Source organism: Homo sapiens, chromosome 1 (genome assembly GCF_000001405.40).
Source record: "Homo sapiens chromosome 1, GRCh38.p14 Primary Assembly".
Classification (NCBI taxonomy): domain Eukaryota; kingdom Metazoa; phylum Chordata; class Mammalia; order Primates; family Hominidae; genus Homo; species Homo sapiens.
The window spans coordinates 181,574,881-181,600,428 of record NC_000001.11 but is presented as its reverse complement, the minus strand read 5'-3'; the positions used below and the strand labels follow the sequence as shown (position 1 = coordinate 181,600,428).

Sequence of the window (25,548 nt, the reverse complement as noted above, 5' to 3'; positions counted from 1 at the left end):
AGTTCTCCATACAGCAGGTAGAGTGATCTTTCAGCATATATCAGATCTTCTACCTCATCTGTTCAAAGCACCTCAAAGACTTCCCATCACACTCGGAGTAAAATCCAAACTCCTAATCACAGTCAACGAGGCCCAACCTGATCTGGCCCTGACCCTCTCTCTGACCTCTTGCCCCTCAGAGTGCTCAAGCCTCCCTGGCCTGTTGGACACTCCCTGAACCTGCCAAGCAACCACTTTGGGTCCCTGCACTTGCTGGCTCTCCATCTGGAATGCTCTTCCACAGATATCCCAGGGCTTTCCCTCCCACTTCTGCAGATTTCTGCTCAGATACCACCTCCTTCCCAGACCACCTCATCTGAAGCATACTGCCTCCCTGCAACACTCTCTGCCCCTTCCTTTGCTTTGTCTTCATATGACTCATCACTACCTGACAGTATACACTTATTTTTTAAATTGTTTAATAGATATCATCACACTATAATACGAATTCCAGGTGGACTGATTTTGCTTGTTCTTCACTATATCCCTGACTCCTAGCACAATGCCTAGCTATAATCGGTGCTCAACAAATATTTGTTGAATTAAAAAAATGCAATTGGAAATACCAACAAATTTGCCTCATTTAACATAGGCTTTGTGTTTTCACTGAGCATAAGAATATTCCCTGCTGATAGCTTGATCCTATATCATTCACTAATTTATTACTCCATCCATCCAGTAAATCACCAGATTTTTTACTAAGCACCTACTACATGCCACACGATATGCAAGGTTCTGGCAATAGTCATGAAATAGTAGACATCCCTGCACCTACAGAGTTTACAGTGTAGTTAACAGAGCAGAAACTTAATAAATGGTCACACAAATACACACACAAGAGGTGATAAGTGCTATGAAGGAAATAAGATTGTGATTTAAAAAATTATACCAAAAGCACTCAATTTATATTAGGATTAGGAGAGTGCTCTCTAAGGAAGTAACAATTAAGATGAAGCTTGAGGGATCAGTAGGCATTGGCCAGATGAAGAATACAAAGACATGGAATCAACCTAAATGCCCGTCAATGATAGACTGGATAAAGCAAATGTGGTACATATACACCATGGAATACTCTGCAGCCATAAAAAGGAATGAGATCATGTCCTTTGCAGAGACATGGATGGAGCTGGAGGCTGTTATCCTTAGCAAACTAACACAAGAACGGAAAACCAAATGCCCCATGTTCTCACTTATAAGTGGGAGCTAAATGATGAGAACACATGGACACATGGGAGGGGGGAACAACACACACTGGGGCCTATCGGAGGGCAAGAGTGGGGAGGGGGGAGAGGCTCAGGAAGAATAGCTAGTGGATGCTGGGCTTGGTATCTGGGTGATGGGATGAACTGTGTAGCAAATCACCATGGCATACGTTTACCTATGTAACAAACCTGCATGCACATCCTGCACATATACCCCTGAACTTAAAACAAAATTTAGAAATTTAAAAAAAAAAAAATGGCAGAAACAGTGTGGCCACAGCCAGGAAGCAGGAAAGAGCCTAGACGGCTAGCAGTCATGGTGAAGGGAACACAGTCAATGGAGGAGGCAAGGGCGTGAAGTAAGACAGAAGAGCAGTCCAGGGACAGATTATCAGGGCTATGTGGGCCACAGTAAAAGACCAAAGGAGGCATGAAAGGGATGAACTCTAGTTCATTAGACTAATTCCCACATTTGAGCCCTGGGGGCACTGAACAAGGACAGTGTCAGACAAAAAGATGTACAGATAAGTCATTGATAATTTCAAGTAATGAGATGATTTCCCTGATAGAAGGAACTCTGTAGTCATTAATGGACACTCAGTCCTTTATCACTCACCCCCAATCTCTTCCCCAGTCTCATCTCCAGGCATTTTCCACCCCAACTCCTTTATTGTGGCCACTTCCTCAACACGGCACACAAATGTCATACCTCCACCACGCTTCTGCCCAGGTCCTGATCTCCTTCTCCCCCTGGTGAAATTCTATGTCTACAAGGTTTCTCTATGAAGCCTTTCTTGGCTACCTCAGAGAGAACACCGCCACTGCCTTTATACCCCACAGCAATGGGTCCATAATGCTCAAAGGGACCATAACACTTCCTCAAGGCATCCACTGAACACAAGCATGTCTTGTCTCCCTGAGGGCAGGAGCAAAAGCTCTTCCACCATCCAATGCCTAACACGGGCCCTGGTAATCGGTCGGCACTCCAATGTTTGGTATGTCCGTTAAGTTGAAGTGAATTGCCGAAATCATTCATCCATCTCCTCTCACGTCCTCCTCTAACAGGGAGTAGTGGGGACAGCCTGGGCTTTTCTAGCTCACAAGACAAGGTTCCAGTTGGGCTTTCTACCTTAACAGCTGTATGACCTTGGGAGGATCCTTTAACCTCTGTAAGCCTTAAGCGCCTGATATAGTTTGGCTGTGTCCCCACCCAAATCTCATCTTGAATTGTAACTCCCACAGTTCCCACGTGTCGTGGGAGGAAGCCGGTGGGAGGTGATTGAATTATGGGGGCAGGTCTTTCCTGGGCTGTTCTCGTGACAGTGAATGAGTCTCACAAGATCTGATTACTTAAAAAATGGGAGTTTTTCTGTACAAGCTCTTATTTTGCCTGCTGCCATCTGCATAAAATGTGACTTGCTCCTCCATGCCTTCCGCCATGATTGTGAGGCCTCCCCAGCCATGTGGAACTGTAAGTCAAATTAAACCTCTTCCATTTGTAAATTGCCCAGTCTCAGGTATGTCTTTATAGCAGCATGAAAACGGACTAATACAGTGCCTCATTTATCAAATGAGGACCGATCCATCACCTTCGAGGCAGTCACACGTGTAGAGTGCCCAGCACTGTGCCTGGGCACACAGTAGGTGTAAGAGGAATGCTGATGGTACGTTTATCCACGTTTCCTGTCTTTCATCTGTATTTTCGGTATTATTTAACATTCAAAGAGATCCCAACGAAGTGTGTTTTGTCCTGGGAGAGGAGAGGTAACACAATGCGAAACACAAAAAATATACATGGATAGAAGAGGCTTCACTCCCTGGTGAAGAAGAGGAAGGGGCAGACTGAAGCCATTGTAAACAAGATGACTTTGACAATAATAAGGGAGCCCCTTTCTCCTCTCAAATCCACCTCTGCTCACTACAGAACTGACCATGATGGCAAAAGCTACAGAGGGTCCAAGTCCCATGGAGGTGATAAACTCCTCTGAGTGCCAGGGTGGGTCTCATAAAAGAGATTGGTTGCCACAGCAGTCGAGAACATGCAAGCTCTTCCAAATTAGAACAGAAATTTAATTAAACCAGGAAAGGAATGAGAGATAAGGAGATGATTAAGGCCCCATGATATCTCTTTCCTTCAAAGGGAGGGGAGGAGGCAGGGCAGAGCTAGAATTCACCCCCACTTGCAATCTGCACCCATTCTCCCTGCCCTCAGCCCCTTCTCCTCCACATCCCTATTTCTGCTCCTCCTGAGCATCTCCTTCCTCCTTTTTTGGACACCTAGGCCCCTACCCCAAAACCAGCCCTGTGCAAAGCTCTCCCTAAGGACATATGTACTGCTGACTCACTCTCCCAGCTTCTAACAATGTTGGAAACTTTTAATTCCCCAGTTATTATCTTTTCTTGTTCTTTCTACTTTATCTTGCTTCGTGTTATGAATTATGTACAGTACTACAGTACTTCTGGTACTCAAGAAACACCCTTTATCAAGTCTGTACAAAAGAGAATTCACGAGTGATCTGGATGGACCAAGAGTCTCTTGGCAAAGAGCTCCCTGGGCCTGCAGGGCATCTGAGCTTAAATATGTGTGTGTACACACACACACACACACACACACACACACACACACACACGTACATGGTGGGTGGAAGACTACTCTCTGGAGATGAGACTCCCTGAAACCTCATTTGGACAGGGTGACGATAAAATGCCCCAACGACGTTCTTCCTTGTACACCTGCCCTCTATTAGGCTGCACAAGTCCGACGCAGGTGGAGGGGGCACGTGACCGTGACAAGCAGGCAAAGAAGTGGGGAGCTACCCTTCCAGGTGCGGTAGGTAACTGTAGGCTTTGTGCAATCTGCACTCCTAGGCTGTGCCTTAGTTTTTTATTTATAAATTGTAAAAGCAAGATATGTCCACAGGAGGCTGCTTCCCAAAAGCCTGAGACAGAAAGCTCTTCAAGATCCCCCAGCAAAGGGGATCTCTGTCTGTGAGCCACAGCACACCATGCCTTCCACTACCAAGGGGAGGAAAATAAGCCACGTTGTGTTTCTTTTGGCCTCTTTCTCTCAATCTCCCCGGCCCAATCTCCCATCTTTCTCCCTCCTCACCGCCCACTTCTCCACTTGCTAAAGCACCCAAGATCCAGTTTAAATAACCTACTTTGCAGTTTATTTAGCTCTAAATGGAAGTCGTAAGACAAATGCAATAAATAACCTGGATATAAAAGAGAGGTCCATACCTTCCTTTTCGCTCTGTCACCCACATGCACACACAGACTAAACACTGGCAATTACTCTCTGTGGTCACCTTCCCAGGCATGGTGTGCTGATAGGTACAGCTGCCTATAGTAGCGCCAAGTGGCAGGCAGGCAAGTTTAGTGTTCCTGGGTGGACTGAGGTCCTACAGCGTGGACCAAGGCTCCTGGCTCAATGAGGCAATGGAATCTGCAGTCCCAGGAGCCCTGGATACCCTCGCCTGTGGGGAGTGTTATCTTGGTGACCTGGCCAGCCACGGATGCCTCTCTGCTATTCCTCCCCAGCTTGGGCAGGTGGCATGATCCCTGAGGGACTGTCACACCATTCCAGTGCAATCTGCCAAGGAAAAAGAACCTGTCACAGAGAGAGGAGAGTGGGAGACCCGGGAAGGGGAGGATGGTGGAGAGATACAGGCCTGCTGAAAACACTAGGAGAAAGGGAAGCTTGTGACAGAGATGTGGCAGCCTTGCTGACTACGCCAGCCCCGCCTGTGCCTGGGGAACATGTGCTGCCAAGAGCTTAAATGTGTGCAGGGGACGAGGGAGGTGTGATCACCTGGGTGTGCATGTGCCTGCTGCCCTTTGGGCCTGCCTTTCCTTCCAAATTGTTAAGGCAGCTGGTGGCAGCCACGAGAAGTACCTTCAGAGGCAGTGGGGGACACGCCTTGATCATTCATTCAAGGATGGCATCATAGAGACCCCTGGGGAAGGAATCAAGCTCCACACTCCCTTTCTTTTCTGCTTCACCTAGAAATCTGATGTTTTTATACAAACTACTCAGGCAGTGGCAGCTTTGTTTCATATCAAGAAAACACTTGAAAAGGTCATGATATCAGGATGCTTTGAGCACAAAGGAAAGAGAAATATCCTAACAATATTTTGAATATACGTTCTACCTTTCTTCTGAGGGATACCATTGACTGTATCTGTCAAAACATGTTTAAAAATGATACGTGAAAAACCTGTATTGTAAATCTCAATAATAGAAATCTTCCTAACATGAATGTTCATAACTTTAAAGGATTTTTATAATACCTTAAATTCGTAAGGCACATCTTGATGCACAAAGCACTCTCACACATACATTTTTCTTTAATTCTTACAGCCATTGTATGCACTAAGTACTGAATTGGTGTTCCTAATTAATAGAAGTTGAAAATGAGTCTCACTGAGGTCACGTGACTTGCCTAATACCATGGCAGAGTCAGGAAGAATGGATAAGAAACAAAACTTGCAGCCAGGTGCGGTGGCTCATGTCTGTAATCCCAGCACTTTGGGAGGCCATGGCAGGTGGATCACTTGCAGTCAGGAGTTCAAGACCAGTCTGGCCAACATGGCGAAACCCCGTCTCTATTAAAATACAAAAATTAGTCTGGCATGGTAGCAGGGGCCTGTGATCCTAGCTACTCAGGAGGCTAAGGCACAAGAATCACTTGAACCTGGGAGGTGGAGGTTGCAGTAAGCCAAGATCACGCCACTGCACTCCAGCCTAGGTGAAACACTTGGCCCAAATACAGGTCTTCTGAATATAACCCAATGCCTGATACTACTTTATTCTTAGAAATGGCATTCACTATACCAGCCTATGTGGTTTTCTAAAATACTCATTCTTCAATGACAGGTTACATAAATGACTACCAGTTTCTCTTAAAATTAATATAAAAATCTCAGTATCACTAGAATGGAAAAGAAAACTCAACCTGCTAATAGCAATATTATGCATTTGCAAGTAAATTATATAATTATATTAATATATTTACCTATTATATCTATTACATAGATAAAATATATATCAGCATAGATTTTTAGCCTTCACAGATCACAAAATTTTCACAAAACAAAGACAAAAATATCTATGCTCGCAATGATGTTCTTAACTTTTTATTTTGCCAGGAAAGGACACTAACATTTTCAATGTTTAAATCCAGTTTCAAGTTGAACAAATTTAGTTTCATGAAAAACTACATTGCCATTATTTTTCCATTATGCTATTCTGGTATAGACTCTCTCATGGGCTCAGCCCCAGCTCATTCAGGAACACTGCCACAGATGAATGTCAGGTCTACCCTAACACTTGCAAAGGTTAAGATGTCCTTGGCCAGGCATGGTAGCTCACACCTGTAATCCCAGCACTTTGGGAGGCTGAGGCGGGGGGATCACGAGGTCAGGAGTTCGAAACCAGCCTGGCCAATATGGTGAAACCCCGTCTCTACTAAAAATACAAAAATTAGCTGGGTGTGGTGGTGGGTGCCTGTAGTCCCAGCTACTCAGAAGGCTGAGGCAGAAGAATCGCTTGAACCCGAGCGGAGGAGGTTGCAGTGAACCGAGATCATGCCACTGCACTCCAGCCTGGGCGACAGAGCAAGACTCCACCTCAAAAAGAAAAAAAGTTCTGAAACATGTTTGAATTTGGAAGCAACTGCAACATAGGTTTCACCAGTTATTCACAGTTTATGCAAGTTAGCAAGAACTATTAAAGTGCCACTTTTGCACCAAATATAGGTATGTTTTTCAATATGTACAAAATATAAATACTGTATTTCTAACCAAGATCACAGGACCTGAGCACGCTCACAACACAGAACAAACACAGCAAACTGATGCTAAGAGACAGAAAATATGTTAGGATAATTTGTCTTACATGCTCCCGAAGCAACCAGACACCCACTCTGCATAAGCACAAAAAAACTGCTAACTTAGCAAAATTGAGTTTGTAAGTCCACAGCTCACAGCAGCAAAAAGTCATAAAAATAGTACACTCATATAGTGAGGGCTGAACGTCTTTTTCAAAGCACTTTCGTATACTTTTTCTCATGTAATTGCTATAAAACTTTCAAGGTAGAAACAGCAGGCAGCATTACCCCCATATTACTGATGAAAAGACTGATGCACATTTATTTATTCATCTATTCAATACTTACAAAGAGGAGAACAGTGTTTTGCCTGCAATCATGGGGCTTATGGCAGGAGGGGATCAAGTGACTGTTCCCCTATCCCCAGTGAAGATATCAAAGCCCAAGCTTTGATGTGAACAAAAGGTTAAAAAAAATGTACCTTGTAAAAGGTCTAAGTCGAAGGTGGATTCACTAACAGAATATGACTCAAGAAACAAAAGTGTGTTTGTGTGTGTGTGTGTGCATGCATGGGAGAGTTGGGGAAAGAAGGAACAAGGGAGTCTTCACTTTAGTGGCTGTCCTTGGTCAAGCATCATCACCAAAGACAGGGCATGACATTTTTCTTCACTCTCTTCCCAAGTCCCCAGCACCCCTCAGATTGCCTAGGTATGGGTCTCTTTAAGAGCATTTCAAAGTCAGGTTCCAAGCTGAGGAGGCCAGCTGTGTCACAGAAATAAACTGCTAATTACACGCAAACCCTCTGTAAACACTGAAATAAATTACCTTTCCCCTACTTTTCATTGTTTCCCCACCCCCCACCCCCCACCGGTCACTGGAGGAGGGAGCTGAGCTGTAGTGAGGCAGGACAAGCAGAGGCTGCAGCAGCCATAGTCCCTGCGGACAGCAGCTCACTCTGAGAGCAGAACCTGTGCTGCATCTCCCGACAGCCTGGCAGTCTGGAAGCCATGGCATCTTTGGTGGGTTCCGACAGCCACTCTGTGAAATCAATCCATCAGTGGATATTTACCGAATACTTAGCCATGTCTAGGGGACTGGGGTTGATGCCAGGAGACAGAACATTTAATAAGGAAAAGGGATGTAAACACCTAGAAGACGATGAATGATACAGGAGAATCTGGGAAGGAGTGCTAATAACATTTAGGTCTGGGGGAGAAGGCTCAGGGAAGCATCTCCTCTCTTTTGAATTTCTCAGGGATAGTCAGAGAAGGCTCTGTGGAGAAGGCGACATCAGAGTTTTGGAGGTAATTCCAAGAGTGTACACTCAAGGTTGGCAATGATGCAAATGGAAAGTGTAAAGTGGCTAGACTGAGAGACAGGAAGGACCAGTCTGAGAGGAGCAGGTTTATACAGTGGGCCAATGGAAGAAGATGCTTTGTCTATCCTAGATGGTTTTCAAAACTTTTTAACTAATAATTTCTCACATGAGTGCTATGTGCCAGACATGTGTCAAAGGCTTTATCCATGTTACCTTACTTCTTACTACAACTCAGTGAGGTGGGTACCATAATTATCCTCACATTACTGATAGAAAAATAAAGGCACAGAGATTAAGTAAGTTGCCAAAGTCACATAGATAGTAAAGTAAGACCAGGATTCCTAACCACTATGTTATAGTACCTTTGGCATCAGAAATCACTTTTTTCAAATAAAACTTTTATCAGAACATCCATGCATAAAACTTACAAAAATGAGACATCTTCTGGCATAAATATATTGTATATATTTAATATAAATATATTCATAATAAAGAACATTTATTCAATATCACTCAAAACATGAGGTTGTTTTCTGGAAGATAAAAATTTGAAACCAGGGTTATAGATGACTATTGCAGTCTTGAATCAGCTTTGGCATCCAGCTTATTTTTGTATTTTATTTTAGTTTCACAGTATTGAGAAAATCTTGAATCATACAGAAAGGTAATAGTGTGATCACTTACATCACTTTATAAAAGCAAACAAGCTGGGGCCTGATTCTTTTAAAAAGACTAACACAGAACTAGAAGCTTTCTAATCAATACCACATTTACACAAAGCTCAAATAAATGCAGAGATAGCAAAGGGAGATTGACTCCAAGGTCTCCACAAAGAAAAGAATTAAGCCAGTGTGACTGTGGGTGGTCTTCAAGTGTGAAAATTTGTATAACACATGGATTACATGTGGCTTTTAAAATCAGTTTTATTCCTTCATTTTCTATTTCCTCAATTCTACAATATACCTTTCTTTACAGTGGAAGGTTTTGTAACTCAGAATATATGAATACATAATGCATAGAAAGCAGTAGCTTTTCCCCCAACATTTAATAATGCTTAAATTTAATAACAGAATTATTCAATTTTTGATAGAGTATATAATCAATGGCATCTTAGATTCAAGAAAATGTGGTAGTTAAAAGATATATTTTAAAAACAAAACTTGCAACAAAATTTATGGATGCCATCAAAGCCCATCCACAGATACCAGCTGACAAGTCCTGGGTTCGGAGTGAAGGCCATGGCTTGGGGATGGTGAGTGGGGAGAGTGGGAGGGAGGGGTGGGAGCACCTGCAAGGCACCCTCAGGAGAACAGAAATTCAAGTGGTCCTCTCTGACTATCACAGGTGCTGTGACCCACCCACCAGCTCCTGGGGTGAGGAAGACTGCACACTGCAAGGAAGGGCCCCGCCTTGGGTCACTGCTTCTCAAGAAAAGGGGCACTAGGAGAAGCTGAGGGGACAAAAGTCAGAAGATATCCCAGGTCCTCTGGCATTGGTCCTGTCACTGTGGCTTCTTTATCTGATTTGAGTGTTGTGATTTCCCAAAACATCAAAGATATTCCAGTGCAGATGATAAACCAAAGCTGTACTCATCAGTCAAATACAATATATATATATATATATATTTTTTTTTTTTTTTTGTAATTGACTCCACTACTCTGCTGCCTCATCAGTGCACAAAATCCTGTTTCCTCTTGTGGACAGACAATGGGGCTCAAGGTGGAAGGCAGTGAAGAGTGGAGGTTCTCAGGAATCCCTTTTAAAAGAGCTCTCCAGAAGTGTAAATGGGGCCCCTAGTACCTGGCACCTTAAAGGAGAAAAGATCCTGTTCAATCCTTCCCTCTCTTTGGGAGGGAACTGAGGTGTAATTGAGGGCACACATGTCAATCAACAGGGAAAGCTGCAGCTGAAGCTTCGCTGTGGCCAAACAGCTGACATCTAACTGCAACATAGGGAACTGGAGGCAGGCAAAGGTCTGTAAATCTACGCATATTGTTTTCAACAGGCATGGAATGAGGACCAGCTAAGGAGAGGATGGTTAAGGGAAAGTTAGTACATCCAACCCTTCCCTCCCACCAAAAGGGTTGGGCAAACTAACTTTCAAGTCAGTTTCTGAGCCTTGTCCCTAAAGGAAGGTAAAAATATAAAGTAGCATCTAAGCACCCAGTGGGTAAATGATGCCTTTGATGTGTTATCAAGAGCTCTGACATCTTTGTCCAACAGGCTACAATCCAGTATCATGGGCTCCCCTTGAGTTCACCAGCTTTCACATTTCTACATGGGCTGTCCAGAAGCTCACTTTATTTTATTTTCTTTTTAGAGATGGAGTCTCACTATGTTGCCCAGGCTGACCTATGATTCATAGGTCAATCATAGCACACTGCAGCCTTGAACTCCTGGACTCAAGAGATCCTCCTGCCTCAGCCTTCCAGGTAGCTGGGACTACAGGTGTGAGCCACCAAGCCAGGCTCAGCAGTTCACTTTAAATTATCCACTCTCTCCTCAATCCTCCCAGAGATCTCTGCTTGTATATCTCCCAATTATTCGCTATATTTAGTTTGCCCTATTGTTACAAGTATATGTATGTACCCATGCACCTGACTTATTGCCCCTTCTTGACCTAAGTCCATAAATTAACTACTTCCTGAGAGCCCACTGTGTGTCAATCACTTTATGTTAGGCAAACATTGAATAACGCATGACCTCATGGAAATTCACATAGTAGGCTTGCAGCCTGAAGGCAGAAGTGTGCCTTTTTCTTCAGTACTCTCCCATTTATGTGCCATGTCACCCTCTTACTGCCTGGCAATTACATTGATGTAGAACAGTGGTTCTCAAACTTCAGCGTGGCCTCAGAATCACATGGGAGCTTGCTGAAAATACAGATTCCTTCCTCCTACCTCTAGAGATGCTGGCCCACCAGATCTGGGGCAGGGCCCGGGAATCTGCAATTACAATAATTACCCCTGGATGATTCCAAGATGGACCACACTCTGAAGGGCATGAAAAAAATTGCTCATAAGTCTTCGAGTGAATAATGAATTGAGGAACAGTGAATAAAGACTTCTTGGCTTTCCTAGTGTGCCATATACTGGCACTGTGCCATCCCCACCTGGCTGAGATTCTGTCAGCATTTGGATTCCAGAGTGAAAAGTACCTGAAACAGCCATTGAGTCACCAACGCACCACCTCCAGCTAATTTCTGCCCCTCAGTCCTAAGGCCTGGTGTTGCCTGAGAACAGGAAGATCATAGCCCAAAGCTGCATGACACATCAGGCACCTGAGGCCTTTGGCCATGGATTAGAAATTAAACCGCATATTAGAGTAAATGAAACAAAAAGGAAAGGAGCCCTGAGCCAGCCTAATGGCTATGCACAGACAAAAGACTAGGAGACTGGCCTGGTTCGTGGTGTGAAATTCAGGCACCAGATCAGGAGGCACACTTAGCACATTTGGAATAAATCCCAAACATGATGGCATCCTGGTTTGACAAACCAAGACAGAAATGCAATGAGTAGGAATAACTTCAGGGTGGAGACTGCTATGGATGGGAAAATAGTTAAGTGTGAGAAAGAAAGAAAACGCCGGTTTCTTCCCAGGGAGGGAGCGGTGGGGAGAAGGCTGTGGACCACAGGCTCCCAGCCCAGCAGACAGGGGCCAAGAAGAAGGCACTGTAGGGTTTAGAGAGGACAAGTATTAACAGAACAGGCTGCCAAAGTCAGCATCATAAGCTGCAACGTTAAGTGTGTTTAAAAAAAGAGACAGACACTCTGAGGAGGAAACCAAGATGACAGAGTACAATGCTAGTGAGGTAGGTGGGCGGGCCTGGTGGGTTTCAGTCCCCAAATGTTCCCCAAGTTCACATTCTGAATTGAGCTGAAACAGGACCAGACACCCTGGGAGTGGTGCCACAGAGGGCCCAGCGGTGCGCCGGCGCCCAGAGTCACAGCTTACTCTGCACATGTGCGGCACATGCACACACTCACTCTCCTTCCACTGGGGGCAGTGCGAGCATCAAATTAGAAATCAGAACATTTGGTTTCAAAACCCACTCCCTACTTCTATGCAGTGAGACAGGTTTCTCAACTTACTCCACAGACTGAATTTGTCCAGCAGATTCAAGAGTACATTTCTTTCTTTCTTTCTTTCTTTTTTTCTTGAGACGGAGTCTCGCTCTTTCACCCAGGCCGGACTGCAGTGGCGCTATCTCGGCTCACTGCAAGCTCCACCTCCCGGGTTCACACCATTCTCCTGCCTCAGCCTCCTGAGTAGCTGGGACTACAGGCGCCCGCCACTGCGCCCGGCTATTTTTTTATATTTTTAGTAGAGACGGGGTTTCACCGTGTTAGCCAGGATGGTCTCGATCTCCTGACCTAGTGATCCGCCCGCCTCGGCCTCCCAAAGTGCTGGGATTACAGGAGTGAGCCACCGCGCCCGGCCCTAAGAGTCACATTTTAAAAACGGTCTATAATCCACGTTCTCTCCTCCCTTTTCACGGTTTCTCCGCCACCTCTTTGCTCTTTATCCAGCTCAAATTCCATGGCTATGTTATAGTCACTCTCTTGATCTTCTCTCATTTTATTGTGCTCAACTGGCAAAACTATTCTCATAAAAGCCAAATCTCCACCTACTTCCCATATTCAGTGGCTGAATGTGACCAGAGGAAAACACACCAGGCTCACTGGTCTCACTTGAACTTCATCACAACTAACTCCAAGTGAGTCCATAAAGCTGCCCAGCAACCCAATGCATTTCCTACTCCACTTACTCCCTCAGTCTTCTGGAAAACTATGTTATACCTTCTCAAACTTTCAACATTTTCCTCCTTCCACCCTCTGCTGATGACCTTACTTCCTCTTTCATTGAGAAAATAGAAGCAATAGGAAGAGAATTTCTACAAGATTCCAACACCACATCTACCCACGTACCAGCCTTTGCAGCCACTTGTTCTTCCTCTACTCCTAGTACTATGAATGGATGATTAGAGCTCCTATCTAAGCCAATCCCTACATCTGTGGTCTAGACCTCCCCACACCACACACACACACCTGTTCAAGGAAATCACTCCACCAATTCTCCTCCCTCTCCTTCATCAACAATAATTTTTATCTCAAATGGATCATTCCCATCAGCATGTAAGTGGTATTTCTTCCACGCTGTTTCCATTGCTCTCTGAAATCCTTCCTACTCCACTCAAACTGCTCCTGGCATTCAGTGGTTCTTAGCCCTCACCTTCCTTGACCCATCTGAAGCATTTGATTCAAATGAGCAAAGCATATAGATAAGAGTTTTTGAAAGAGTAAATATGAATGTGAATTCAAGAGAATCTGTGGATGAATTTATACAAATGACCAAGAAATTATTTGCAAGATACTCTAGTAATAACCTTTTTTAACTGAATAATCATATGATAGGAAAAACACTTCTTCAGAGAACTGACTTGATCATCCTCTACTTTATCCCTCTGCAGCGCGCTCTTCACTTGGCCCCAGGACACCAGGTTTCTAATTTTCCTCTCACCTCCCTACTGCTCCTTCTCAGTCTTCTTTGCTGATAACCGTTTTCCTCTTCACCTTAACATCAGAACTCAGTCCTGGAATCTCCTCTCTTCCCTGTCTATATTCACTTCCTTGGTGGTTTTGGCCAGTCTCAATACTTTACCATCTATACACTGAAAACTCCCAAATTTATTTCTCCAGCCAAGCCTTCTACCATGAACTCATTTATTCACCCCCTTCCCTATACTACTGTATCAAATGAGCATGGCAAATTTAACACATCCAAACTCAATTCTCCTCTTCCTCCCAACATACTTTACCTGTGTTCTTCCCCAGCTTAGTTAATGGCAACTCCACTCTTCTTGCTGCTTTCTCCCAAACTCATATTCAATCCATCGAAGAATCCCATGAGCTCTACTTAAAAATATATGCAGAATCCAACCACTTTTCACCTCCTCCGCTGCTACCTCCCTGGCCCAAGCCTCTATCATTTTTTTTATATCCTTGCTATAACCTTGATTTGAATCCCTGTTTCTACTTTTGCTCTACCAAAGGAGGTGGAGTGATCCTTTTTCAAACACAAGTCAGGTCATGTCACTCCTTTCCTCAAAACCCTCCATTGCTTTCCCATCTCACTCAGAGTAAAAACCAGAGTCTGTATAATGGCCTTCAGGGCTCCACATGATCTGACTGACTATTCCATCTCCTACTTTCCGCCTCACTCACTGCAGTTCAACCCACTGTGCTCTTTGCTGTTCTTCAAATACACCCAGCCCGTCCCCATCTCAGGATCTCTGCACTTGCTGGCCCAGCTATCTGGGACTCAGGAGACTCTTCCCCCAGATAACCACATGGCCCACTCCCTCACCCACCCACTTCAAGTCTTTGTTCGAATGCCATCTTCTCAATGTGGTCCTCCTGACATCTCCATTTAAAATTGCAACCAAGTTCTCTTTTTCCCCACATTTTTTTTCTCCACAGCATCTATCACTATCTGATATACCATATGTTTTCCTTATGTTCTATATGCATTTTCCCACTAGAATATAAGTTCCATGAGGGCCGGGACTTTCCTATGTTTTACTCTCTACTGTATCACCAACATCTAGAACAGTATTTGGCACATAGTAGCCACTTAAAAATTATTTGGTGAATGAATGAGTTAGTGAATGAATCTATACTTATGTATGAATGTAAACAGAGGGGAAAAGCCTTTACTATGAGTTCAGGAAATAGTTTCCCTCTCCCTCTACTCTCTCCTCTCCATGAAAAGCCTGACAAGCAAGGTGTTCTGCCAATTAAAAAGAAGTTATCATAGCTCCTCACTAAGCACATACACCTCACCTCCCAGCCGTCATGGGAAAAAGAAAGTAACTTCCAAGATCCACTTACCAATCCCTCTATGGATAAGTAACAGATGAACAGATACTAGTATCCAATTCCAAGCATCACCTATATTACAGGATCCCAGACTCATGCAAGGACATAAGAACAGGGCAGTCCAGATGGGGTTGTTTGAGGCAGGGGGGGGGACCAGTTTATTCCAGAGCATGAGTGATCCTGGATACCAATTACAATTACAGTAACACTTACAGTATCTACAATACCAGTCACAATTACAGTGTCTACAAATTTTAGGAACTATACACCTGATCCTAGGTCAGTTGGTTCATCTTATCACTCTAGCACCATAAGATAATCATAGACTCCTGCCACCTATTTGTCAAATTAGTTTTGAGTAGTTCTACTATAATGTGGAGGAGGTGGTAGGAAAAGACTGAAGCAAAGATGGAAGCCACATTCCCTAGTCTCATGGATCTCAGAACCCAAAGCATTCTCTGTAGATACCACAAAATGAGAGGAACTTCATAAAGAGAATGGTAGTTTTTCATCAACTGCGAGATGGATGTTATGCCTCACCATGCTCATAGAGGAACATAAAGCAAAATCTCAATGAGACAGAAAGTGAATAGCTGTTAACCATTTAATAAATCCTGACTATATGCAGCTGTGAAAAGGCAACTTAAAAGACAGCCACAGTCATTGTTTATAGACCAAAAGATTTCTGAGGAGTTGGGAAGACTCTCAGAAAGCATCCAGACTTTCAGTTGCCTCTTCTTGCCAAAAGCCAATGAAGTCCATAAAACCCCTTCCACCATAGCAGCTTGGAGCATCTTAAGTAGTCACAACAGATGCGGAAAGCATACCTGCAAAGCTGCAGAAACAGTACACCTCCAAGAAATTTCTGCCTCTACATGAGTTTATCAACAGTAAGTAAGAAGAGAAATAACTCCAACTACAGAAATACAAATGAAACATACTAGACTTCAGGAGCAAAGATGTGAGTAACTGCAGACAGGGACTGGGAACCTCTGCAATCTGGGAATTAGTCCTGATACAATAAAAGAGCTAACTGAATCAGCAGATAACATAAAACTATAATGACAAAGAGAAATAAGACTCAGATCAGAATCAGAAGAAAGTCACTTCTCTCAGCCACCTCCAGCCCAGGTGAAGAGGGTTAGCGAGCCACAGTAACATTTGTTGAATGAAGAGCATTGATCAGAAGGAGAACACATTGTACTGTGGAAGACATACTTATCAGGTTACGAGAAATAAGTAAAGAAGAGAGTTTGCAAGTCGAGGAGACCTTTGGGACAGACAGTGCAAACAGGTAGCAATAGCCAGAACTGTCGACAGTTTTGCATTCCTTCCACCAGAGGAGGGAGGGAAGCCAAGAATATAGTTGGAGTTTGACCAAGCAGTTGACATTTGGATAGAGACTAAATGAAGCACAGGTGACTCCAGGTTGCCTTGACAATGGGAACCCTCCCCCTTACAATTCATTATAATGAGAAAAGCCACAAGCAAATGAAGTTAATAGTAATCATTGGCAGAGCAACACAAGGTCATAGGGAGGCATCTAGGAAGAGTCTGTGCTACAGAAAAGGGAGGCAAACATGAGGGAAGCATTTACATTGCATATAAAAAGGTTAAACTGAGCCCACATGCTTGAGAGCTTCTTCCTACTGGGTAAACCTGAAGATTCTCCTACTGGTTTGGATGTAACTAACAACAATAAATCTTACATGTTCGTTGCACCACTGAATAGAAGGTGCATAGGGCTGGGAAATAGGGGATCCCCCTCTCTTAGTGCTCTTCATGAACAAATCCAGCAGCTGGGTGAACTGGGCCTTCCCAGAATGAGGAGTGGTAGAAAGGAAAATCAATACAGTTATATTTATATTTGTATCTTATTGGTGGTGGTTGTGGTGATGCTTAGTGAGTCATTTTTCTATATGCAGAAACACACACATATATATGTATACATGTATTTATAATACTAAGCTGACTAGTCATTCATAGTTAACTTCATGGTACGCAACCAGTGTGTATAAGTGTGTGTGTGTGTGTGTGTGTGTGTGTGTGTGTGTGTGTGTAGGAACAGTCCAAACAGGTAGCAGACAGTCCAAACAGGTAGACAGTCTTTGGGTAACAGTCCCCCTAGCCCTAAATCCAGCCATCAGAATAGCAGGAGGCCTTCAGTAAACTCAAGTTCAATGACTGACAGGCTGGAAGTCAGAGTATGTGAGTCTGTGGGCCCTGGACACCCATGCAATAAAAGGTTTCAAAGTATCTGCAACTTGATCTCCTCCCCTCCCTCCTTCCCTCCTTAGTGAGCAAAACTAGAGAGAGGAGCAAAATCTCTGCCTGTGTGTAACTTCTAAACCTGTGGTTGACAGGTAACTGGGGAGAGAGGGATTTGAAGAGAGCACTATGATAGCAGGAATCATGGCACTTTTTTCTCCCTATTTCCCTAGTGCCTAGGACAGTGCTTGGCATGTAATAGATGCTCAGTTAATAAACACAGAAAGAATGAAGGAATGAACAAAGAAACTAATAAAGAAAAAATGAGTGGTTCTTCAGCTGTGCTCCTTCTCCTCTCAGTACCATCTGAATCTTGGCTAAAGAGGACCAACAATCACGCCTGTATCCTCAAATGCAACACTTCTCCTTTCAGGCTTTCAATGCATTTATCACATCACTTAGGTGAGTCTACACATATAATTGAAATGCATCACTCTCAAAGCCCTCCATGTGACACCAGCCACTGCAGGGCCAGTGCTGCAATTCCTAGAGGTGCCTGGCTAATTTGAGTGGCATGGCCTCAAGACAACCTTTACATCTCAAATGAGGAGTGACTGCACTCATCAACCTTGCCTCCCTCCCCTCCTTCCTGCTGCCTCCCACAGCTGGTGAGAACTGCAGAGTGTCCTCCAGGGCTTTCTGGGTCACACTTCATCCCTGGGCTTGCTGGGTGTAAGCTGGTCCTTGGGACTTCTTCACTGCCCTTTAGAGCTTTAGCATAATAGCCAGTGACTCTTTTCTGCAAAGCTTCAGTCCTGCCTTGCTCATCCTATGTGGGAATGGATCCAGGTTAGCAATGGACCTCTACTAAGTACTTCCTTTTACAGGCCTTACACAATCCTTGCTCTTTGGGCATTATAGTCTCGTCGAGTTTCTTCTGAGACACAGCATTTCCTTTCCCTCCAGTGTAAATTATATCCAAAGCTCTTTCTAAAGGGTGCTTTGTATAAGCCACCTTATGTTCCACCTAATAAGTTTTATACAGATAGAATCAGGCTAAAAAGATCTAGAGAAGAACTGAAGGAAACAGACGGCACCTTAAGGTAAAGGCAGACGGTGGGAGCGTGCATAAGAGGCATGATCATTCCAAAGTTACTGTTTTGGGGTGGGCTGGCTGAATGCAGGTAAGGGTACAGTCCTTCAAAAGCACCTGCCCAAACTGCTTTACCCACCTAGGATCCATGTACATCAAACCACATACCTCAAGTCACTCTCATTTTTGAGCATAGAGTCTGCACCAAGCCTTTGATAACTTATTAAAATTAGACTCTGGAAGATGGAAGAGACTTCATGATCACCCTACCTTCTGTCCCCATGCAGGAATCCCCAACATCCCTGACAGGCAGCTAGACCAACTCAGAACCTTCTCAACATGTCTGATCATGTGAATCACCAGGGCACTTGAAAAAAGCACAGCTCACTAGCTATACAAAGCTACACAAAATTAGAATCTCCAGAGAAGGGGTCTGTGAATCTGAATTTTCAACAAGCACCCCTGGTGAATCTCACAATTAAGCATGCTTTTTATGTGTGTGTAATGCAGTAGTTCTTGACAGTGGCTACATATGAGAATCAGATAGGAAGCTTTTTAGAAAAGTCAATGACTTTTCTAAAATGACCTTCACCCCTAAATATTCCTACTTAATTGGTGTGGGATGGAGCTCAGTTGGTATAATTTTTTTTTCTTTTCTTTTTGTTCTTTTTTAGTAAATTCTCCCAGATCCTGAGGGGGTGATAAAATTTTTTAAGGCTTCCAGCTAATTCTACTGGGCAGCCAGTATCATACATTAGTACCCTTCACTATACCCTACCGCCACGTCCAACCAACATATTCTGTAACTATTAAGTTGATCTGACTTAACTAATTTGTTCACCTATCCAACATAGGATGTAATTTCCTAATCGTATTAAGAAGCTGTGTACTTGTACGTAGCAACAGGCCAGACAAAAGAGGGTTATGAACTGCTAAGGCTTATCCCAGTTGAGTCTTCACCTCCCATCCCAATACACCTATATCCATAGCCCTCCCTGTCCCCGGACTAGCCAGGCCAAACAACCACAGAAGCCTCCATCCAGGGTTCTTCCCTCCTCCTTCCAGGTCCCCACCAGCTCTACTCACATTGTACAGCACAGTGGTCCACCCTTCCATGGTGATGCACTGGAAGACAGTCAGCACAGCAAAAAGGATGTTATCAAACTGGGTGATCCCATCATTGGGGCCGATCCAGTCCTTGCATTCATAACCAGCTGGGCAGCCCTGCACACCACATGGGTGAGGGGGGTCAAATCCTTCTAGAATACCTGCAGACACATTTGGAGGGTAGGAGATAAATCACATGGTGTTTCGCATGAGCTGGAAATGACCCCAGGAAGCCATAGGCAAGCAATTCCATTCCCCCACGGAAAGAGGCCTGCCCTTTTTTGTCTCAGGCTCCCTCTCCTCCCTGGCCTCTCTGCACCTCCCAGCTCACATATCATGTGTTCAATCCAATGTTTCCCAGTCTCCTGAAAAATGGAGCCTCTCCTCCACATAGTCCCCTGCTCTCTGCAAGCTTCATCCTCTACCCTCACCTGAAGTACCACAGGAATTAAGAGGACTGAATCACACGGCACACTTTGAGGAAAAGGCAAAGTGAGGTTTTCTGGCTTCAGACTCCAGGATGAGCCCTGAGTTCTTCCTGGGTTTCTTGGGGACAGTTATAAACTATGGTCCTTTTAGGGGGGTTTAACTCCTTGTTTTTCCAGCGTGGATTCCTGGTTTTGAATAAAAGATAAAAATAAAAAATAGAAATCCAAGGTGGAAAGTGTTCTTTTAAGGTTCTTTTCATAAAAAGCATGGTACTTATTTGGAATTCTTCAGCCTGCCTCCCATCTCCTTTCCTCCTAGGATACTCAACTCAACTTGAAAAGAACAAATGAAATACAAAGATATGAGAATTTGGGGTTGTGTACCCTAACAATCTCCCAAGCACACTTGCAAACCAAGCTCAGAGCTCCCTCAGTTCTTCCATACCACGTGTGGGTCAAAACAGAGAGCGAGAAGATGGTGAGAAGGATCATGAAGGGAAAATGTCTCCACAGATCCGGAGGGACCCAACTCTGACTCTGGACTCCTAGATCTCACCAGCCTGTGGGCCAGAGAGGCCACTATACAAAAAGTACTTATTTATTCAGTCAGAGGCTGCTGTACAAAGAGTAAAGGGGTATTGATTCAGATATTCAGAGAGGTTGCACTTTTTTTTTCTGTAGACAGAGAGATAGGGACAGAGAGACACTAGTTGTCCAGGCTGGCCTCAAACTCCTGGGCTTCAACAATCCTCTTGCCTAAGCCTCCAGGGAGTAGCTGGAACTACAGGTGGGTGCCACTATGCCTGGCTCAGACAGATGGCTTTTCAAGTTCATTCCCATGGCCCTTGACCATGGGATAGGGGAGCCAAGACCATCTATTTGAAATCTTCCAACTACATATTTGCTTTGCAATATTAATGTCAAGTGAGGATATCTAGTCTTGGTTGACTGTGCCTCAAAAGGCTGCTGACTAGAAGCTTCTGATTCTAATTCCAGGGTCAGAATAGGACATACTTTTCCAATGAGCCTCCAAGTGCCCTGAAATTACCCCAGTTAACAGAGGGGAGAAGGGAAAAGGAGAAGACAGAAAAGAACGACCCTACCTGAATTGTTCATGAAGCATGCTCGATGTAACTTGCCACTGTAGAACTCCAAACCAATGATAGCAAACATCAGGATGGCAAAGAAGAGCAGAAGGCCAATCTGCAGAAGAGGTACCATGGCCTTCATGATGGACTTCAACACAATCTGCAGGCCTAGAAGGAAGGACAGAGAATGACCAATGCAGCTGTCCCTCAGCACCATCTGATAGGGGAGGATTAGTTTCATTCCCTCATTGGTTTCATCCATGCTGCCGTCTGCCTCTGATAGATTAAATTTATTAGAATGTGCTCCTTTCCTAAAGGAAATTAGGCCCAGCTCTGCTAGGCTGTAAATCCTTCAAGAGCTGGGATAAAGTTCATCTTCCCATTCACTCTATCTCAGACCCAGTTCTCAGTCTCTGTTGGGGAAGCACAATTAGTACAAGCACTATTCAGAAAATGCCATATCCTTTGACCCACACATTGCATTTCTAGGATTCTAGCCAAGAAAACAGTCAGAGATTTGAATAAAGATTTAAGTAAAAAGGTGTTTGTTGCAGCACATTTATAGTTGGAGAAAAACTGGAAATAGCCTATTTTTATTTTTTATGCCATCCAGCAACATAAAACATAAAAATGGCTAAATAAATCATAACACATATAAGAATTTTTTTGTTTTGAGACAGAGTGTCGGTCTGTCGCCAAGGCTGGAGTGCAGTGGCGTGATCTTGGCTCACTGCAGCCTTGGCCTCCCAGGCCCAAGTGATCCTCCCACCTCAGCTTCCTGAGTAGCTGGGACTACAGGAGTGAGCTGCCATGCTCAGCTACATTTTTTTTACTTTTTTCTATTTTTTGTGGAGATGGGGTTTCACCATGTTGCCCAGACTGGTCTCAAACTCTTCCTGAACTCAAGCAATCCACCCACCTCAGCCTCCCAAGTGCTAGGATTACAGGTGTGAGCCACTGCACTCAGCCAAGAATTTTTAAGGTTAGGAAAATAAAATACTTATTTCAGGATATAAAACTACAATCTACATAACGATTTCAATTATATTAAAATGCACAGGGGAAAAATGAAAAATATTGAAATTTTAACAAAAGTGATTTCTGAGTGATAAGATAAAGAGCACTTTTCTTTTTTGTTGTTTACTTTCCACATTTTCTGTAAAGATTTTCTATTATCTTTTATATTTGCAAAAAGTTAAATGTAAAGTAAAATGTTACACCAGATTGCTCCATCTCCACTATTTATTACCACTGAGGCTTCCTCCCAGGAGGAATATTGTTTGTTTATCCCAAATTCCCTTAGACCTGGATCCAGCTGAGGACACATGAAGAAAGTTCTTAGCAGAGCAGAAAGAATGGCAGATGCTCACTAGGTATCCCTGACACGAGCTTCAAAGGCCGCAGGACACGCACAGCCCGGAGGGTCCTCAGGTCCACGTGAGTATTGAAGTGGGTTCCTGCAGTGGCCAGGATGCTGCAGACAGAGACACAGAAGGGTCAAGGTTACCAGTCTGGTTTTCCCCTCTTGTTCCATGCAGGAAGCGGGGCTGAGGCAAGCTCAGCCTGGAAAGCACACAGCGCTGACGCCAGCTGTATGTGGGTGCACCTGAGCTTGGGTGAATCACCAGTGGCTCCAAGTGGAATTAAATTTAGCCATCTGGGTTTTACTTTGCAAAGAAGGAAAACTTATCATCATACCAGAACCCTAGTTCCAAATCCCAAGCAAAACACAAGGGCCACAACATCTGTCCCATTCCTGTCCCCAACACTTGTCCCCTTTCTCCTCTCTGCCCTGTTTCAACTCCTTCCCCTCTTTCCAACCCACCAGGCCCTTGTATTTTTTTATTTCAAAATTTTCTTAGGTTCCCCTGTCTATCTCCTTCAGGAAATTTCTCTGGATTAACTGCAGTAAAAAAGTAACTCACTCATCTCTACCTTGACAGAATTTTTACCAAACAAATCAATTATGCTGATGCTTGCAACTGGAGAAGAATTTCAATGGTCTTCACATAGTATCAGTATTTTTATAATTGCACAAACCACTCTTTGACCCTAATTGGATTTCTTCCTATTTTTCCATGTTCCACAGCCAAATCCAGAAATACACACACATACAAATCCATAATTCTATTAGATTGTGTACACCAAGGAGACAACTTATTTCCTATAATCTCATGACATTGCAGGGACTTTGGAGAGACAAGGACATATATGTATTTATGAAAGACATAGCAGAAGATTAAGAGCAGAAGAACTGAGTTTAAGTCTGACTCACTCTGTTGAGAATGGGGTAACTCAACACAAGTCTCTCAACCTCTATGAACCCCACTTCTGTCATCTCTAAAATAAGGGGGTATCGTGGTCTAGTTATAAAAATAAAATGACATGGTATTTAATATTAAGAGTGTTCTATAAACTATAATGTACACACAGACATTGTGGCTAATGCAAAGCTTACTAATATTAATAAAATCTTAATTTAAAACTTGCTCATTTTATTCTTCTTTCTGTGAAGAATGAAAGGAAGTTTCTCACCCATAATCCCTCCAGAACAATCTCAGCTACTCAGAACCATCAGGAAATGAGGCATTCAGAAAACTGGGTTCCTCTATAGTCAAAGGGTGGCAAAAATGGCTTGTTTTGTTTATTTCTGATGGAACCTCTCTGAAATAGTTCAAGTATTAAAGAAGGTACCTGAACTTCCTTCACTATTTGACGTGTCTTCAATCTCAGAAAAAGAACTGTATGGAAAGTGCATGCCCTATGGCCCTCGGAAGCAGATATACAATCATTAGGTACAAATCATACAGACCAGGACAACAGAATCGCAAGCGGTAACTGACACAATTAGTGCTGCCAACAGCCAAGCGGACGGCTTCATGTGCTGGCACCCTTCCCAAAACTCCAAGTATCCGGGAGCTACCTGTAGAGCATCATTAGGAAGTAAAGAGGGATCCTACATGGGGTAAAGGTTATTTAAACAACCAATAGAGATTCCTGTCAACTTTAAGATTCTCTGAGTCTACGTTCATACTACCTAAAAATAAGAAGCAGAAAGAAATCCTACTCATAAAGAATCTCAAGAGCTAGACAAGGTTTCTGAATCTTCCCCATCTCTCCTGAGTCACACTTCCATGCCGTCGTCAGAAACGGGGGGACTTGGGGCAGTGGAGTCTTCCACACTCCTTTTGACTCTATCTTCCAAGGCCAAGGAAAGACATTAAGGAGGGGGTCATATAATTTCTAATAAGTAGGGAAGGACTAAAGAGAAAAAAGAACGAGAAGCAACATAGAAAATAGAACTGAAAAATATGACAGAAATAGAAAAAGAGAAAGAGCGAGATAAAGAGAAACTTCAAGGATAGGTGTGGAGATAGAGAACCACAAAAAAGAAGGAATCATTGTTTGGCTGGTTCTTGTAATAAAGGTAAGGTGCACAGCACAGTCTCCTGTGCTGCCCAGGTGGGAGACTCTCCTTTCATGATGATGTCTTTCAAACACAGTATGCAGAATATGAGTTAGAAATTAGACTTCTGTTTCCTAGGATACTCAGATACACATGAGACACTCTTTTCATATCATAAAAAGCCCTGTTGGAAATGAAAATTTCCTCTCCAACCCTGAGTTTAACAGTTATGTTTCAGAACATGGTGATAGAGGCAGAAAGATAAAATTAAAAGGCAAAGAAGGCTCAAATGTAGAGGGGAAAAATGGTAGAGGGAAAGAAGAATAAGATGATAGAAGAGTGAGCAGTAAAAGAAAATGTAGGGATATAAACAACAAAGGAAATAAATAAGAACTGGGGGGAGAAGCAAATGTCAGAGAAATGGGAAAGAGAACAAAAGCAAAGCTAACTTGAAAAAGGGAAGGAAAAAGGTGGCATTTGTTGCAGGGGTCTCACAGAGCCAGCCATGAGGTATGCGCATGTCACCAAGTTAGTCTTTGGCTGAAACTACCTGCTCCCCAAATTCTCCCAACCACACTGCAGCCAGGGCCATGCAGCCTGTGGCCTTGTGCTGTCCTGGGCCTCCAAGTGTTCTTTTCTGTCCTCCAGTGCAGGAGGGCTACCAACTGGGTCTTTAATTGATGCACATTGGCCACTGGCAGCTTCCTAACTCCCACAGTTCCAATACTCCTTGAGGCAGGAATGACAGCCGGCTCCCCGTTCACCTGTTAGAAAGTAAGCAGGGACAATGGGATTCTTTTTTTTTTTTTGAGACAGAGTCTTGCTCTGTCATCCAGGCTGGAGTGCAATGGCACGATCTCAGCTCACTGCAACCTCCGCTTCCTGAGTTCAAGCGATTCTCTTGCCTCAGCCTCCCGAGTAGCTGGGATTACAGGCATATGCCACCAAACCTG

At 43.7% G+C, this 25,548-nt stretch overlaps 1 protein-coding gene across 14 annotated transcripts in view; it reads right to left on the bottom strand.

Moving 5' to 3' along the window:
* Window positions 1-25,548, bottom strand: part of CACNA1E (calcium voltage-gated channel subunit alpha1 E) — a 490,386-nt gene that overhangs the window by 207,656 nt on the left and 257,182 nt on the right. For all 14 annotated transcript variants that reach the window (XM_017002244.2, XM_017002243.2, XM_017002249.2 and 11 more), the window contains 3 exons: window positions 22,560-22,663; window positions 21,205-21,357; window positions 19,653-19,834 (listed from right to left, as the gene is read on the bottom strand). In XM_017002244.2, the coding sequence (XP_016857733.1) occupies window positions 19,653-19,834; window positions 21,205-21,357; window positions 22,560-22,663 (439 nt within the window). The remainder of the gene's footprint in view (window positions 1-19,652; window positions 19,835-21,204; window positions 21,358-22,559; window positions 22,664-25,548) is intronic.